Raw genomic sequence first — 18,882 nt, forward strand, 5'->3', positions numbered from 1 at the left:
ACTAAAAAGAGAACTGCCCTATAGTCCAGCCATCCCACTTCTGGGTTTAGATCCAAAAGAACTGAAATCAGTGTATCAAAGAGATATCTACACTTTCATGTTTATTGCAGAACTATTCACGATAGCCAAGATATGGAATCAACTTAAGTGCCCATCAACAGATGAATGAATGAAGAAAATGTGGCATATGCACTGTTGAATGTTATGCAGCCATAAAAAGAATGAAATCCTGTCATTCTCAGCAATATGGATGAGGCTGGAGGGCATTATGGTAAGTAAAATAAACCAGGCACAGAAAGACAAACACTGCCTGTTCTCACCCATATGTGGGAGCTAAAAAAGTTGATCTCATAGAAGCAGAGAGTAGAATAGTGGTCACAGGAGCATGGGGAAAGGAGGCGGGGAGACAGTAGATGTTGGTTAACTGATAAAAAATGACAGCAAGGCAGGAGGAATAAGTTATAATGTTCTATAGCATTGTAGGATGACTATAGTTAACAATTTACTTTATGTTTTCCAGTAGCCAGAAGGAAGGATTTTGAAGGTACTGAACAGAAAAAAATAATAAATGTTTCAGGTGAGAAATACACTAATTACCCTGATTTGAATACTACACATTGTTTACATGTGTTGAAATACTATTCTGTATCCCATAAATATGTACAATTACTACATGTCAACTAAAAATTAAAAAAATAAGGCTGATAGGATCACTATTTAGTCAGACCCCTGGTGGCTCAAGCCTTCCTTGAGGTTTATTTTTTGCCTCTGGAGAGTAGAGACCTCAGTCACTGTTGCACCCTCATGCCCATGCCCACCCAGTCCTCTGGCATGGTGGCATGGCCACAGTAGGCACCCATCCGAGAGGCCAACCTGAAGGAATGGATCATACCACACTCACGCAAGCAAGAGTCTGAGTAAGGCACCTCTAACTCAGGATAGAACTCCTGACTCCAATCAGGAATAGCCTCCAGAAAAGAAAAGTGCTTTTATGGGGACCTCCGCCCATTTGTTAGTCATTTATCCACATGAATCCTTAGGCCAGGAGTCCAAAATGCACATACTTTTGGAGGCTTAGACAGGTGACATAAATAAGAGAAGTGGGATGGCTGAGGGATGATTCTTCACTTTCCCAAAGAAATATCTTCTTTGCCATTTTCTTTGACTTGTTCTTCGCTCTTGTTGGTTCATTATTCTGTATGTTATAGGGACAAGGGAAAAAGAAAAATTTATATTCCTCTTTACTATTGGGCCATGAAAGAATTACAAATGACAACTAATTCTATGCCTCGATGGCAGAAAACCACCAGGGTGAAGAGAAGACCCTGGTGAACTGAACAGCATAGGTCTCATCTAAATAAGGAGGAGCTAGAGCTAATCATCCCCTCATGGGAATATGGACTCAGTGTTGCCTGCTGTTTTTTTCAAAAGAAGCTGGAACCTAACTATTCTTGTGAAATAGCCTAATATATTTACATGCACAATTCATACATACTCTTTTAAAACCCTGTGCAGGAAACAGGGGATACATTTTTGGTCCAGATTCAGGGTATGAATCAGCAATTTAGATCCTGAATTTTCATCATATTGTTCAGCTCTTGGGGTATCAACCAGATGTAGTAGCAGAAGTCTTGGCCTGTGAATCCAGAGGCTGGGGTGGGCATTCTCCTCTGTAAAAATGTGGACAACTTGTACTCCTCCCTGATCATCTCCTTAACTTCTCCAAACAAGGAGAGATTAGATGACCAAATTTATTTTTATATGCACATCTAGAGTGTAAACAGCTATCATAAATAGACTTTAAAATGCATGTGGCTTAAAAAATAAACAAATGAACAGAAGTTTCACTCTCCGTCACAGAACAGTCCAGGGTGTGACAGCTGGAGCTTTCCTCCACCCTGTGATTCCAAGATCTACTCTCCTGTGATTATGTTGGCTCCCATGGCCTTGCCATCGTCTACCTCTTGCTGCTCTCACAGAAGAGGTATGGTAGAGGAAATGAACACCTGCTTCTTGAAAATCATGGCCCAAGATCTATACAAATCATTTTTACTTACATTCAGTTGGTGAGAACTGGACACACAGCCACACCCAGGTGCAGGGTGTGACATGACTACACTGTGGAAGGGAAGAACAGATTTTAGTGGATGTCTAGCATTCTTTGCCACCTATCCTTCCAGAAAACGTTGCACATGAATCCAATATATAAAACGGTTCATCATGTAGCTGTACAAGATGAAGACAGAATAAGGAATTCCTAAACTCCATAATGAAAGTTGCATCACTGCTCAAAATATTTTTTGGTCATGGAGAAAGAAGATGTCTCTTTGTTGCACTGACATCAGGCTTGGCCATGTGACTCACTCTTGCCCAGTGAATGTAGCTAGAAGTGATGGGTGCTATTGTTAAACAGAAGCTTTGAAAGCCATGGTCCACCACTCTTCTATTTTCCTTCTGAAGGGGGACCAGTATGTCACAGAAAAGAGCTTCTTTTTCAGTAGAATTAGAATGAAGAAGATAGGAAACAAAATCAGAGCTGCTTTATGATAGTCATGTCATATGAATGAAAAATGCATCTTTAATTTTGCAGGTCATTAAGATTTGGTGCCATTTGTTACTGCAGTATAACTTGGCTTAAGCTGACTGATACACTCTCATGTCCGGTGTCCTCTTGTCTCATTAGGGGCCTGGGAAGCATCTCCTTATAACTTCTAGGACTTGGCAAAGTATTGGACCCAATCATTGCTGAGATCTCTCAAAGTCCCAGCATTCCTTGATTCTGTCTTCATGTGGTAGGGTCTCTATATTCCTAGAGGCTTTGAAGGACCTTTGTATTCCTAGAGCCTAACACTATGCAAGGTATAAAGTAGGTGCTCAGTAAGATTGCTGAACATGCAACATATTGTTTTGGCAATCTCCTGCAGCATGAAATTTTCTAATCAATGTCCCTCCCCACAGGCCATTCCTAGAGCGCCCTTCTCTCCCTCCCTCCACATGGTAGACTTCATATTTCAAGCCAAACTCAGGTGTTCTCTTCCCTATGACAGCCTCAGACCAGAGTCCGAAGAAGTGTGTCCCATCTCTGGATTCCAATAACTCTGAAATTTCTCTAGGCTCTTCCATGCTATATTCTTTTGGAAGCAATGCTTGGTTTAGTGATTTTTCATTCTCTCAGTTTCTAGGATATTGTCTGATTCAATAATAAGTCTCAAAATGTGCTTATTAAATAAATGAATCAATATAGTATTTCCAAATTTGTCATGATATAAAAACTTGAAAGAATTTGCTGTCAAATATGTATATTAAAATATAACCTTTATGTGATTTGAAGACTTTAATATGGGAAAAGTAATACCTTTTGTGTGAGATAAATTGTCCTTCTCAAGAACCTGCCACTGTATTATATTGTAAGGTACGTGTTATATATAAATTATAGCATTTGCCATGCATCTCCTCAGGCTAAATACTGCCCTTCCAGTCATATTTAAACAAATGTTTTTAAAGAAACTTTTCTCTGGGAGCAAAAGTACACCAAATCATTTACACTCTAGTATAAATTAGTTAATCAGTTCACAAGTTTTCTTCTCTCTCTCTCTGTCTCTCTCTCTATATATATACACACACACATATGTGTTTGCTATCATTTTAAATCTATTTGAATCTTTAGTTCTTAAAATTTCTGCCTTTTTACAAACGATGCATTCCTGAGAATGTCTTCCCAAGATTGTGCTTAAGTTTGGACTTTGGAAGCCATGTGGATTGCTGTGCTGTGGGGTTTGAATCTGTCTCCACCATCTACTGGTTGGTAAAGCTGGCCAAGACAGTCAAATTTCCTAGCTCTCATTTTCTCAAAATGAGATAATTGGTGGCTAATAAATGGTACATCAATCCACATGTATTAATCACTATGAAGGAAGAAAATGCATTTAGAATTTAGATTGATATAAATCATGGCATAAAATACAAGTTTTGGAGGCTTCTCCTTATATTGAACCCACCTGGATGAACTAAACAAAGACACCCTTACTCAAGAGGCTGAGGAATAAGGATCACTAAAGTCCAGGAGTTTTATACCAGCCTGGACAACATGGCAAAATCTCATCTCTACAACAACAACAACAACAACAACAACAACAACAATAATAATAATAAACAGGCATTGTGGTGTACTTGTGATCCCAGCTACTTGGGAAACTGAAGCAGGAGGATCTCTTGAGCTCAGGAGCTCAAGGTTGCAGTGACTTATGATGGTGCTAGTTCACTCCAGCCTGGGCAACAGAGCAAGACTTCCTCCCCACCTACCCCCAGAAGAAAAGGAAAAGAAGATGTTCTGAATGAGAGAGGAAGGTCTGAAACAAAGGTAATGAAAGCCTCTAGAACTTTCATTTACAAATCCAAGCCACCTTTTCTTCTGTAACTAAAACAACAGAAATATTTTCTTCTTTTTATTCAACTCCACCATCTTTAAATTGGAGACTCAATGAAACTGAAACTCCTGCCCTTCCAGAACTTAACCTGTTAAATGACTGTGCTTTCTTGCTACAACAAAAAACAATGTGGTACAAAGAAAACCAACCCTGGTTGGAGCACATATTTTTTTCTAAGGAGATTGATGAATTGCTTCACTGCATCCAGCAGAAACTGGAAATGATAACTCTTTCCCCCAGTCATAATGACTAACTGTTAAACTTGAAAGGATAAAACAAAGGAAGAATCTTGTTGCCTCCCCTAAGTTACAAGCACTACAAGTGGGACTGACACCTTTCATCTTCTCACTCACAACAGCTGGCTTCTGAGGAATAGCCTCCGGGGATGACAGGGTGGCTGGGGTGTGCTGGGGGTATCGTGCGGAGAAACAGCTGTTTCTCAGATTTGCTAGAAGGAAATTTTAATCAGGGTCAGGCTGAAATTGGTTTGTGCAGACTTGGGCCTAGTCATTCCTTTATGGGAGGCAAATGGCAAGGTGCTTTCTGGGTTACAAAAACTCCAAACTCCAAAGTCATGCTGGGACCTGCTTCATTCCTCCCCTAAGGCATCCGTGGACTGGCTTAGGTCCTTCTGCTAACTTAGGTTACCTGGCAGCTTTATCGTGTATATAGCAAAAGAACCTCTAGGCACACATGTTTTGCTGGCCCTTCTATTGAAAGGTGATGCTACTAGCCTCGAACAAAGAGATAGGCAGTGAGCACAGTTTAGACTCTGAATCTCCCAGTTCCCAAATGCGACGGTTAGTTTTATGTGCCAACGTAGCTAGGCTATAGGACCTAAGTATTTAACCAAACAATAATCTGGGTGTTCCCGTGAAGGTGTTGTGTAGATGTGGTTAACATCTCCAACTAGCTGACTCTAAATAATGGAGATGACCTTCCATAATGTGGGTCAGCATCACCCAATCGGTTGGTGGCCTAAAGAGCAAAAACTGAGGTTTTCCAAAAACGAAGTTGTGCCTCAAGACTCTGGCTTTAATTCTTGCTTGAGTTTCCAGCCTGCCAGCTCGCTCAGTAGATTTCTTTTTTATAATAGCTTTTAGGGTACAAGTGGTTTTATGTAACGTGGATAAATTATATACTGGTGAATTCTGAGATTTGAGTGCAACTATCACCTGAGTAGTGCACATTGCACCCAATGTGTAGTTTAGTGTCCCTAGTCTCCCTCCTACCCTCCATCTCCTGAGTTTCTAAAGTCCATTTATGACTCTGTATGCCTTTGCATACTCATAGTAATAGCTTAGCTCCCACTTATAATTGAGAACATTCAGTTTTTGGTTTTCCACTCCTGTGTTACTTCACTTAGAATAATGGCCTCTGGCTTCATCCAAGTTGCTGCAAAAGACATTATTTCATTCCTTTTGATGGCTGAGTAGTATTCCATGGTGTATATGTGCCACATTTTCTTTATCCACCCTTTAGTTGATGGGCACATAGGTTAGTTCCACATCTTTGCAATTATGTATTGTGCTCAGCACATTTTGGAATTGCCAGACCCCCAGAATCACAAGAGCCAATTTGTTAAAATAATTCTTTTAACATTGACATATATACATAAAACAAACATAGAGTTCTGCAAAACTAAAACATTCTAAGATGATAGTATACTATTTCTAGAACATTGCAAGTTTTTGCCTGATCCTGAGGTCATGAGGAATGGCTAAAGTCAGAGTGGTTAAAGAATTCCTTGATTTTTTTGCATAATTTTAGGGTCTTTTCCTGACTCCTTTTCTGAAAAACACAGAGAAGCCAAGATGGTCTGCCATTTATTGCTCCAAGGAAGAGAATGCATGACAGAGATAAAAACCTGAATCAATACTTAGCTTTTAAGTTTCAAAAGTCCTACCCTATGTGATCAGAGTGGGTTTGTGCATGGAATGGAAAGATTTTAGACTACAAATGGGGAAGAATTAAACACCTCTTTCTGTTAGCCATGCCTGCAGATTAGCTAATGATGCTTTGGCCCGAGTGGGGAGTTGGAGATGAAGAAAGTTTTGAGAAGGCAATATGGACTCTGACGAAGATCAGCCCTGTGCTCTAAACTCATCCCCTCCCACCCCTTCTCAGATCCTTTCTAGCTGTAGGGAATTCAAGGACAGAAGGCACAAGAGCCTAGCTTCCAGGTTAGAAGCAGGAAGGCAGTCAACCTTAGAATGAATAGCCATTCATTCATTCATTCATTCATTCAACAAATGTCTACTGAGTCTCTGCTGTGTGCCAACTATTGTCCTAGGTGCTGGAGTAGACAAGAAGGACCAAGTCTTCACCCTATGAGAGCTCACATTCCAATGCAGGCTCACCCTGTAAGAGTTCATATTAAAAGTTCTCACCCTATGAGAGCTCATATTCCATTACAGTGTTCCTCAACCATGGCTCTGTTGATAGCTTGAACTGGATTGTTCTTTGTTGTAGGGGCTGCTTTGTGCATTGTTGGGTGTTTAGAGGCATCCCTGGCCTCTACTCACTAGATACTTGCAGCAATCGCTCAGTTATCACCAACATAAAGGTCTACAATATGCTGAATGGCTGCTAAAGGTGGTGGATGGAATTAATGAACCCCAAGTGAGAAGCACTCTTCCAATGAATAAACACACCATAAATACACAAATAAAATGTTACAATACAGTGTCTAGTAAAGGTAAGTGGACAGGAGATAGCAAGGGATGGGGGCTGGTATGGTCAAAGACGATCTATCTGAGAAAATGGTATTTTAAGACTCCTAAATGAAATGAGAGAGCAAGCCACAAGAATATCCTTCAGAAGAGCTTTCCAGGCAGAAGGAATTGCACATTTATAGGCCCTGAGAAGGGAGTGTGTTTAGTGTGTATGAGGAACCGGTAAGAAGTCCAACCCAGTTTTGTATTACTCTCATTTTTTTCTAATGATTTTATTTAACCTTCCTGGAAACATTCTAGATGCTTAGAGTGTTCCAAGTGCAGAAAGCAAGAGGAAGAGTAGAAGGAGAAGATGTTGCAGAGGCTCCAAGGGCCAAATCAGGTGTGCCACATGAGGACGCTGGGCTTTATTTTAAGTATGATGGAAACCTGATGGAGAATTTTGAGCAAGGGAGCGATATGACCTGACTTGCTTAAAGGGGTTATGGGGGACAGGAAAGGCCTGGGAGCAAGGAGATAGTTTGAAAACCACTATAGGTATCCATCTGAATTATGATGGTGGCCACATTTGGGTGAGAGCAGAGAAGGTCATGAAGAGTAGTTGAATTCCAAGTATGTTCTAAAGGAAGGGATGATAGGATTTATGAGGATTTGGGTGTGATATGTGAGAAAAAGAAAAGGCATTTAGGAATTTTAAGTTTTGGGATGGATGGTGGTGTCATATACCGGGGGGTGGGTGACATTTGGGGAGAAGCATGTTTGAGAGGGTCATAGGAGTTAGGTTTTGATCACATTGATTTCAGAAAGCCTATTGAATATTTCACTGGAGATGTCAGTAGGCAGTTAGACATATAAGTCTAGAACTTAGGGAGTGGGTGGGGCTAGAAATAAAAATTTGCAAGGCATCAGTATACAGCAGAGTTTTCAAGAATAGGGTGAAATGGCTTACAGAGTGAGTAAAAATTGAGGAAAGATACAAGGATGGACACCTGGGGCACTGCAGCATTCTGAAATGACCCAGAGGTGTGGCTAGGAAGATACACTCTTTGATGGCCTCACGTTATTATGGCATGGGAGCGGCATAGTAACCCACACTGTCAAGAGAAGACAAAAGTCCAAGACAGGCCAGGACCAAAAAGGTTCTGTCAGTGGAAAGTACAGGTGACTCAGCTACCACTTTCATGAATTAAAGACAGCAGTCATCAGTGACCAGCACTTTTCAACACTGTCACTGTTGTGTACAGTAAGGAAAGACAGAGGAACAGAGATCAGGGGAAGCTAAGTGAAGACTACACAGAGAATCTATGCACTTTCTTAGCAACTTTTATATAAATCTAAAATTATTCCAAATAAAAGAATTATTATTATTTTTTTTGAGACAGAGGAGTCTCACTCTTGTTGCCAAGGCTGGAGTGCAGTGGCGCAATCTTGGCTCACTGCAACCCCCTGGGTTCAAGCGATTCTCCTGCCTCAGCCTCCTGAGTAGCTAAGATTACAGGCACCTGCCACCATGCCCAGCTAATTTTTGTATTTTTAGTAGAGACGGGGTTTCACCATGTTGGCCAGATAGGTCTCAAACTCCTGACCTCAGGTGATCCACCTGTCCCAGACTCCCAAAGTGCTGGGATTACAGGTGTGAGCCACCACCCCCGGCCAGTTTATTATGTTTTTATAAACAGGAGACAGTGTTTAAAAAATTGAAGAACAAGAAAGACTCCAGCTGCCTGTATCCTAATTAGAATGAGCACTTCTTAAATATCTACAATTTGCTGGGTACTGTGTAAGGCTTATTATCTGCATTTGCTTTAATAATTTCCTAATAACAATCCCCTAATAATCCTCTTGAGTCTGGAACATTTCACATTTATATAAGAATATAGAGCCCTTGGGAGACTAACCAACTTTCCCAAGTTTACAAAATATGGAAAGGGCAGGGCAGAAAATGCAACCCAGATTTGTATGAGTCTCATTTTTCTCTAATGATTTTATTTAACCTTCCTGGAAACATCCTAGATGCTTTGAAGACCAAATAAAAGCAATGGATATCTTGCCAGAAAATATATATGTACAAAGAATGTTAATTACCATATCAGGAGATTCATGGATACCTATACAGTATCCAGTAACCACCAGTTAAAAACCCATGTACCACGCCCCCCTGTATCTGAGATCTCAATTAGACAAAAGAAAAACAGATGAAGTGAAAGAGAAAGAAAACAGAATGGTATTCAAAGCCTTCTTTTGGCAGAGTTTAAAAATTTAAGCTTAGCCGGTGCCAGAATTCTCAATGTATTTACTGTTTCCATGATTTAAAATATAATAGAAAGCTGAGGTCTTACCCTGGTCTCTAACATGATCCTGGGAACATCTGGAAGGAGAAAGCAGCACAGGTGAGTAAAAGTCAGACACCACTGTGCCCTGGGCCATGGCATTTTCTGCTGCCTACATCCGGGGCTCCAGCAGGATACCTGGCCCCAGGCATTATTTGGAGAGGTGGCTAACATTAAACAAATAAGAAAAATCACTAACTAGGCCAGCAACACCTGTATCTGGAGACACACGATCCCAGCACACCTGCATGCCAAGAGCATTAGCTCATTACCGAACATATCTGAGCACCCTCAGAACACGTGGTCCTCGGTGACAAATTCAATTGCACTTGGCACAAAGCCATGGCGTTATTCACATGCCATGTCTCTGGGCCTTTGCCAAGGTTCTGCAGGATGTGGGACTCATTGAACACAAGTTGTAGGCCCTGCCCACAAAAATGAGAGGACAAGTAGGAGAACCAACGGAGGCAAAAACGGGACAGGGGATGAGAAGTAAGAGAGCAAAGTTACTTCTATACCCACATGATTATTTTCATTATTATTATTATCAACTTCCAATAAGTTCCCAAATTATTCCCATCCTCAGTAAAAATTTTCAGATTTTACTCATTTGGTTTATCTTAGTTCTCTTCACACCCAAAGACAAACATACAAGCATTAAATTTTTGGCACTCAAAAAAACACAATCAAACCTTATGAACTGGCACCTGTAAGACAAATTCAGCCCTTTGGAGGTGGTTTGCTCATTCTTCACTTTCATTCCATTTGGGGCAGCGGGCAGTTGTGCATTTCTAATTTGAAACTCTTGAAGCATTTTCTGCCTCCTCAGTTTGCCTCAGTTCCCACCTGGCCCACTGTGCTCCAAAGCCATGTGGATTTGCCACTCCATCTTAGAGAGGGCCAGCCATGCCCCTCTTCTCCTGCCTTTTCCTTTTCGTAAATGTGGAAACCAATCTATTAAGGAATAAAAAGATCACAGAAATTAAAAAGGAGAGGGAGGTGCCAGACCCAAAATCTGTCTTCTGGTGTGCCATCCTGTCAAAAATTGCAACATTAGGGTCCCATTCCTTTGGGTTAAGAATTTGTCTCTCAAGGAGCTGAGCAGAGAGGGGACAGCACAGACTATATCCCCAGAAACCTCTGCTATCTACTCAGAGGTGCTGCTCACTTTGGCATCTTGAAAATATTGTAAATCCTGCGGGCATGGTGGCTCATGCCTGTAATCTGAGCACTTTGGGAGGCCGAGGCGGGTGGATAACCTGAGGTCAGGAGTTCGAGACCAGCCTGGCCAACATGGCGGAACCCCGTCTCTACTAAAAATACAAAAATTAGCCAGGTGTGGTGGCACACGCCTGTAATTCCAGCTACTTGGGAGGCTGAGGCAAGAGAATTGCTTGAACCTGGGGGGCAGAGTTTGCAGTGAACTGAAATCATGTCACTTCACACCAGCCTGGGCGACAGAGCGAGACTCCGTCTCAAAAAAAAAAAAAAAAAAAAAAAAAAAGAAAATACTCTAAATTTGTGATTTAAGATGTGTGTGGGTGTGTGTAAATATGCATGTAAATATATTTTTATATATGTTATACATATACATATATATTTTATATACACGTAAATTCTCTCCATGGTCTCTCTTCCTCTTTGAGGCTTTTTTTCCTGCTTCTCCAAACCTCTCCAGGTTTTTTATTCAGATGTTGCTACTTGTAATCCTAACTCCAAAACATATCTATGTTTACTAATATATATATATATATATATATATGTGTATATGAATATATACTCATATATATTTTTATTTATAGATTAATATATAAGAATATATATTCTTATATATATTTATATATATAAGAATATATATTCTTATATATATTTATATATATAAGAATATTTATTCTTCACATATATATGAAGAATTTTTTTGTTGGAAAGATTTCAGATAGAAGCAGAGCTAGTGATCTGGCTGAAGGGGGTGGCGTAACACAGAGCCCCTCAGATCTGGCCCATCTGGAATCTTCTTCGTGCAGGGCTGTGCACTCACCTGTCTGCTTCCCTGAAAGACACTCCAAGCTCATTATCCCTGAGTGAGCGATTTTCGTGTTTTGAGTGCCATTTAGCTAAGCTCTTTGAGAGACAAATCCTTAACCCAAAGGAATGGGACCCTAATGTTGCAATTTATGACCAGATGGCACACCAGAGGAGGAAAGAGTTTGGGCCTGGTACCCTCCTCCCCCTCTTTAAACCATATGCCTAAGACTGGCAGTGACTCTGGGAAATGAACCAGTAGGGTTATCTTTTCCCTATGATATCAAATTTTACAACCCAGTCTGAAGGATCACTTTATTTCAAGAAACAGATACTCACTTAAGCTAGCTTTGGCAATAAGAAATTTATTGGAAGGATGCAGAAAAATCTCGTGAAACCTGTTTGAAGAACTACAGCTGGCCCTGGAAAGTCACCAGCACCCTCTCTTCTTTATCTCCTTATTTTGGGGACCACTTGAGCTCTCGCAGCTGTTTCTTTTTGCAAGCCTTTTCCATTCTCCCCATGGTCTCTCGTTCTCTCTGAGGCTCTTTTTTCTGCTTCTCCAAACCTCTGTGAATTTTTTTACTCAGATGTTGCTATTTGCCATCCCAACTGTTTATGGCCTCAGTTTCAAGGCCATCATGGCTGGCTGTATTTTTCCAAGCCCTTCATGTTTTTGAAAGAAAGACACTGATTGGTTCAGCTTAGGTCAGGTGACTCTCTCAGTCCAATCAGCTTTGGTAATAGGGCAAGGTCAACTGGAACAAAGAAAGTTACTCAGAGATAAAGGCTTCCATAAGACCACTAGGAGCATTCTGAAGAGAGGGACAGCAAGCTTCCTGAATCCGTGTTTCTCCTCCTTCCTACCTCACAGGGTTGAGGATGGAACATGGCACTCTGGCACAAGAACCACACATGAGATTAGGGGCAATAAGCTTCAACAGTTCCCCACCTACAGCACAGAAAATGCACTCCTCTCCAGTGATGGAATTTCCTCCATCTCTCCCCACCCTGCTGGGGCAAGTGCATGGGATGGACTAATTCAAAGCCTCTAGGGTAGAAAGAGAGGAGAAAGCTACAGGAGGCAGGACCAAGCTCAATCAAAGGAAGTGCAATGTAGCAGTGAAGGTGACTGTGGAGAGGACCATCCCCAAACCTCCAGGCTGGGGCTAGATGAAGAGGAGCTCCCTGCAAGGTGCAGGGCACCATGGCAGCTCCTGTGGCTCCTTCCTTCCCCATGTTGAGAGGTGAAGGCAGCTGGGCTTCTGGGTAGCTGGGGACTGGGAGAACTTTTGTGTCTAGCTAAAGGATTGTAAACGCATCAATCAGCACTCTGTAAAATTGCACCAATCAGCACTCTGTGTCTAACTAAAGGATTGTAAATGCACTAATCAGTACTCTGTAAAATGGACCAATCAGCAGGATGTGGGCAGGGCCAAATAAGGGAATAAAAGCTGGCTACCTGAGCCAGGAGCAGCAACTCCCTGGGGTGCCCTTCCAGGCTGTGGAAGCTTTCTTCTTTTGCTCTTCACAATAAATCTTGCTGCTGCTCACTCTTTGGGTCCACAGTACCTTTATGAGCTGTAACATTCACCGCAAGCATCTGCAGCTTCATTCCTGAAGTCAGTGAGACCACGAACCCACCAGGAGGAACAAACAACTCCGGACATGCCCCCTTTAAGAGCTGTAACACTCACTGCAAAGGTCTGCAGCTTCACTCCTGAAGTCAGCGAGACCACGAACCCACTGGAAGGAAGAAACTCCAGACACATCTGAACATCTGAAGGAGCAAACTCCAGAAACACCATCTTTAAGAGCTGTAACACTCACCGTGAGGGTCCGCAGCTTCATTCTTGAAGTCAGCGAGACCAAGGACACACAAGAAGGAATAAATTCCTAACACAATGGGTCTGTCATCTCATAAGTCACACATTATTTAGCAGGTTAAGAAAGATTCTACATCTTAGCATACCTGCTTCACTTGGCCCATCATTGCTCCATGCTTTATTAGGGGAGGTAGCAGCCTATACAGTACAAGCTAAGAATAGCCAATAGAACCCCCTTCCCCCAAACCCCTTCCTGCCTGCCCTCCTGAGGTAGGAGAGCTCCACACTCCAGCTATACTTTAGCCAAGCTAATGTCCAAGCAGCAAGGGGTGGAGAATACAGAGTGCCCAAGATATGATAGGAGATAAAACACAATCCCACAGGAAATCAGCTATAGGAATTATGAAACATAAATCACAGTTCTCCTTGTTCTGTGACCATGTCAACAGTGCAAATTTTATATCTAAATAGAAATGAAAAGCAAATAACTCATGGGATGATCTACTTCAATCATGCCATAATATCAACCTTTAACGAGAAAGGTGTGCATATGTGTCTGTGCATATGCATGTGGGGAAGAAGGCAACTGGAATGTGGTCAAGCTACTCCCTGAAATTCCACCATGTGTCCATACTGGGGCTAAAACCACAAGCATAAGATTTTGGCACCTGTATATACAATTTGCCTTTTTTAAACACCTTCAATTTCTAGAGTAGGCAATTGCTCAGTTCTCTTTCGGTTCTAAAGAGAACTACTCTGGTGCTAACATGGCATATTCTCATGCCAGCATTCTATTTTCCTTTGCTTTCTGGCTGATGGTGATCTCAGAGGTGAGTCCAGAGTAACCCTTCTGGGAGTGCTCCCCAAAACATGCACTCGGAGTGACATTTCAGGGAACTCTGGATAATGCCTATGAGGTACTTTGGGAAGTATTCTCTTCGTCTCTGGGCCCCTAAGAGCTCAGTCATGGACTGCCATGGGGTGGGCGTTATTGGTTTGAGTTGTGTGGCCCACAGGGCAGCTGTTCTGCAACAAAGAGAGGCTTTTAAAATGCAAACACCATGGTACTCCCCACCTTCATCTGATAACAAACACCCTTCAGTGACTTCCTGTTGGTCCTCTGGGATGGAGATGATGGGTGATGGGTCCATCTTCTGCTAAAGTGCCCTTACCCCTCACTGTGCTTACCCTTACCCTCATGCCCCAGCCTTGTGGCCTTCTCCAAGCTCTCAAACAACCAGACACCCTCCTGTCACCACCACAGCTTTCCCCCTTCCTTCTCCTTGAAATGCCACTGTCCTTCCCTTCCACCTTCAATTCACATCTACTTCTCTTTCACATCTCAGATCAATGTGACTTCCTCACCTACACCCTGATGGGGTCAATCTCTCCTTTTAAGACCCTCAGAGCACTAAGCTTCTTTTCTTCCTCCTACAGTTAGGATTTTCAATCTCTACTTTTCTTTTTTCTTTTAAGAGATAAGGTCTTGCACTGTTGCCCGGGCTGGAGTGCAGTGGCACGATCATAACTCACTGGAGCCTTGAACTTGAGTGATCCTTCTACCTCAGCCCCCTGAGTAGCTAGGATTACAGATTGGAGGGAAAGTTCCCTAGGGTATCATCCATGTCTGTCTTGTTCACTGCTCTACCCGGGGCCAATAACAATGCCTGATGCATAGTAGATCCTTATCAAATATGTGTTGTATGAATGGAATGAGTAAAAGAAAGAATGCTCACATGCCAGCTCTTATAGACAAGGAGAGGCTGGACACAGTGGTTTATGCCTGTAATCCCAGCACTTTGACAGGCCAAGACAGGAGAATCCCTTGAGCCCAGGGATTTGAGACCAGCCTGGGCAAGATGGTGAGACCCCTTATTTATAAAAATTTAAAAATTAGCTGGAAGTGGTGATATGTGCCTGTAGTCCCAGTTACTCCAGAGGCTGAAGCTGGAGGATCACTTGAGCCAAGAGTTGGCTGCAGCCGAGAGGCTGCAATGAGTTATGATAGCACCACTGCACTCCAGCCTGGACAACAGAATGAGACCCCAAATCCAAAAAACAAAGAAACTGAAGAAGTGTAAGGGAGACACAAAGAAGAGCTACATATGCAATCTTAAATCTTGTAGTAGACATATTCCAAACAAAACAGGTGAAATTAACTTTATTTTACTTTTTTACCATACTCAGTCTTTGAAATATGGTGCATATTTTAGACTTAACACAACTTCTCAATTCTAATGGTTACTATAGCAAATAAAACAGCTCTAAATTGATGAGCAACCTTTATCTTGAAGTCAGTGGTCACTCTGAAGACTTAGATGGTGGCTGTACCTTTAGAGGTTTTATAGGGGGCAGCAAATTCAACCCGTGGGCAAAATCTGGCCCGCTGAGTGTTTTTGTACAGACTGCAAGCTCACGAGGTTATATATACATATATATATATATATATATATATATATATATATATATATATATATACACGAGGTTAAGCGATTCTCCTGCCTTAGCCTCCTGAGTAGCTGGGATTACAGGCACGTGCCACCACGCCCAGCTAATTTTTGCATTTTTAGTAGAGATAGGGTTTCACCATTTTGGCCAGGATGGTCTCGATCTCCTGGCCTCATGATCCGCCTGCCTCGGCCTCCCAAAGTGCTGGGATTACAGGCGTGAGCCCCTGCACCCGGCTGGTTTTATATTTTTTAATGATGGGGGAAAAAATCAAAAGAAAAATAGTATTTCGTGACACATGAAAATTTTATGGAATTCACATTTTAGTGTCTGTAAATAAAATTTCATTGAAACAAAGCCATGCCTATTTGTTTGCATATTGTCTACGCTGTTTTGTGCTGCAGCAGCAAAGTGAAGTAGTTACCTATGGCCTGCAAAACCTGAAATATTTACTATCTGGTTCTTTATAGAAAAAGTTTGCCAACCCTTGGGTTTAGGGTTGCCAGATAAAATAGATGATGCTCAATTAAATTATTATATCAGATAAACAGCAAATGATATTTAGCATGTCTCAAATATGCACGGAACATTCTAGTACTAAAAACATATTTGACGTATGTCTGAAGTTCAGAGGTAACTGGGGATCTTGTAGTTTTATTTGCAAATCTGGCAACCCAACTGGGCTAGAATATAATTATTTACTCACCGTAAAGACCTGTCAATATCTCATTGACATAGAAGAGCAAAACGTAGTAATGAAAAAGACTTTCTGCTCTTCAAATCAACCATGAACCTTTTGGAAACCTTCACTTTAGTTTGAACTCAGTTCAAGGGCACTTGGAGTGACTAAGACTCAAAAACAGTTATTAGGACAATGACTTAAACTTTATTTTATTCATGTTCAAGAAGATGAGCTCAGTCAGGCCTAGGTTAGAAAAAAACGCCTAAGAAGCATTCTTGTTTTGTATTAAAATAGTTAGAAATATATTCTAAATACATGTTTTTCAAGCACATATGCCTATATCTTATTAGTAGTAGTATTTCATGCTTTTTATAGTCAATTTTGCACTTTTAAGATAGGAATCAGCATCAAGGAACAGAAATCCGATTCATAACCTTTACACAGGGGGTAAGGGAGTCCACTTCAAAGAGCTTGACTCTCAAATATCCTCCAGGAATAAATTAAACCAAAGTCAAGGGTCACCTACAAAAATTAACTTTGGCTTCTTCTTCGTTTTGCTGAAAGCCAACCCTACAATTGCCTGGAGACGTTGAAAAGAAATGTTCCCTTCAGCCGAACATGAGTAGGCTTATGTAAGACACAGGTAAGTTCTCCATTACCGTCTGGGCCCTGGGCCGTTAATATTTGATGCACTCCTCATCATCTCTGTTTGTGTAATTTGTCAACGCCCAACAGGTCCTCTGCCAGCTATGCATTAAAACTATTTTCAAAATATGTCATTGTCAGCCCTTGGCACACTCATTACTTATTAAGATAAGAGGCCGGATGAGGCAAACAGGAGGTGGCTTGCTTACTTAAACACACTTGACTCAACTGCAGAGGAATCAAGCTATCTAGAGAGTCACAAGATGGAATGGCTTCTAGAGCCCTTCCCCTCTTTATTGGACAGATGGAGAAACTGAGGCCCAGAGAGGGGAAGGGCTTGCCCAAGGCCATACAGAAATTTTATGGCAGAGATGGAAACAGAACCCAGGTTACTTAAGCTCTCAGTCCAGACCCTCCACCACCATTATTACTACATTCTCCTGTGTGCACACATTTTAAAAAGAGGAACAACTTTCCAGCCATTATGTCTTTGAACATCAGGGTCAACCAAAATAGCAATTAAGACAGTGTTTTTCAAGTATTTATTTTCAATACTTGAAAATTAGTTTTTCAAGTATATATTTCAACCCCTAATGATACTTAAGATGATTTAAGATGTCAGACACATAAACTTTTAAAATCAAATATTTTTATTTTATTGCATCACAAAACATACATCAAAGTTATGATTGAGGGGGATGTGCACCAAACCCATGAATTTGTAAGTATTATTGCTGAAGTCAAAGCCAAGGCATGAATAGGGATTTAATTTAAAATCAATTTCAATATCATTATTACACAACACATATTTTCAGTAACATAACACATGCATCTTTTAAAAATTACTTTATATCATCAACTTCAGTATTTTAAAGATAGGTGGGCTGGGCGCAGTGGTTCACACCTGTAATCCCAGCACTTTGGGGAGGCCGAGGCAGGTGGATTGCCTGAGGTCAGGATTTCGAGACCAGTCTGGCCAACATGGTGAAACCCTGTCTCTACTAAAAATACAAAAAATAATTAGTCAGATGTGGTGGCGTGTGCCTGTAATCCCAGCTACTCAGGAGGCTGAGGCAGGGGAATTGCTTGAACCAGGGAGGTGAAGGTTGCAGTCAGCCGAGATGGTGCCACTGCACTCCCAGCATGGGTGACAGAGTGAGACTCTGTCTCAGAAAAGAAAAAAAAAAGTGTCAGCATTCAGGAACTAAAATTAAAACACTCGCACAACTCATGATAGCACAGGTGTTTACAGACAGCAAGAGTAATAAAGGTGATATTGGAAGAACCAATGTTTAAGGAAAACTTAAGTTATAATATTTAATTAAAAATTATTAACATAAACCAGCAATACTTAAAAATTTATAATGTAAAAGGGTGTAGTTATAAGTTACAACTGTAAGTTAAAATATAATACCTAAGCATACTATCACACATGAAAAAGAGAAAGTCCTAGAATATAAACTATTAAAATGGTCCGTGTTTAGGCCCAATGCCTCAGCCTTTGCTTTAACTCCCCATTTCTGAGGTCCCAGTGTTCACATTCTCACCGATTCCCTGTGACATAGCTTACTCTTAGATAATTCAAACTAAGGTGTTCAGACTGTCCTGTATCAATGTACTCACCATTCCTGAAACAACTGCTTTCATATTGGAGGCCCATGGGCCTTCTCCACTCAAGCCAATGAAATGAAGCATTAATGGTGGAAATTCCAGGCCTCATCTAGAAATGGGAAGAGCTACTGGAAGGTTCAGCAGGCCTGCAATATCTGCCTAGATTCCTTTTTGTCAAACCAGTCAACACAAGGCCAACCAATAGAATCTCAGTGT

General features: G+C 41.3%; 1 long non-coding RNA gene across 1 annotated transcript; it reads right to left on the minus strand.

The window, feature by feature from the left end:
- Window positions 1-342: 342 nt before the first annotated feature.
- Window positions 343-9,542, minus strand: LOC105371259 (uncharacterized). The gene is made up of 3 exons (XR_933563.3): window positions 9,442-9,542; window positions 2,058-2,118; window positions 343-1,195 (listed from the first exon to the last, which is right to left on the minus strand). It is a non-coding gene; the product is annotated as an uncharacterized LOC105371259 (long non-coding RNA).
- Window positions 9,543-18,882: the final 9,340 nt, after the last annotated feature.

Source organism: Homo sapiens, chromosome 16 (genome assembly GCF_000001405.40).
Source record: "Homo sapiens chromosome 16, GRCh38.p14 Primary Assembly".
Taxonomy (NCBI): Eukaryota; Metazoa; Chordata; class Mammalia; order Primates; family Hominidae; genus Homo; species Homo sapiens.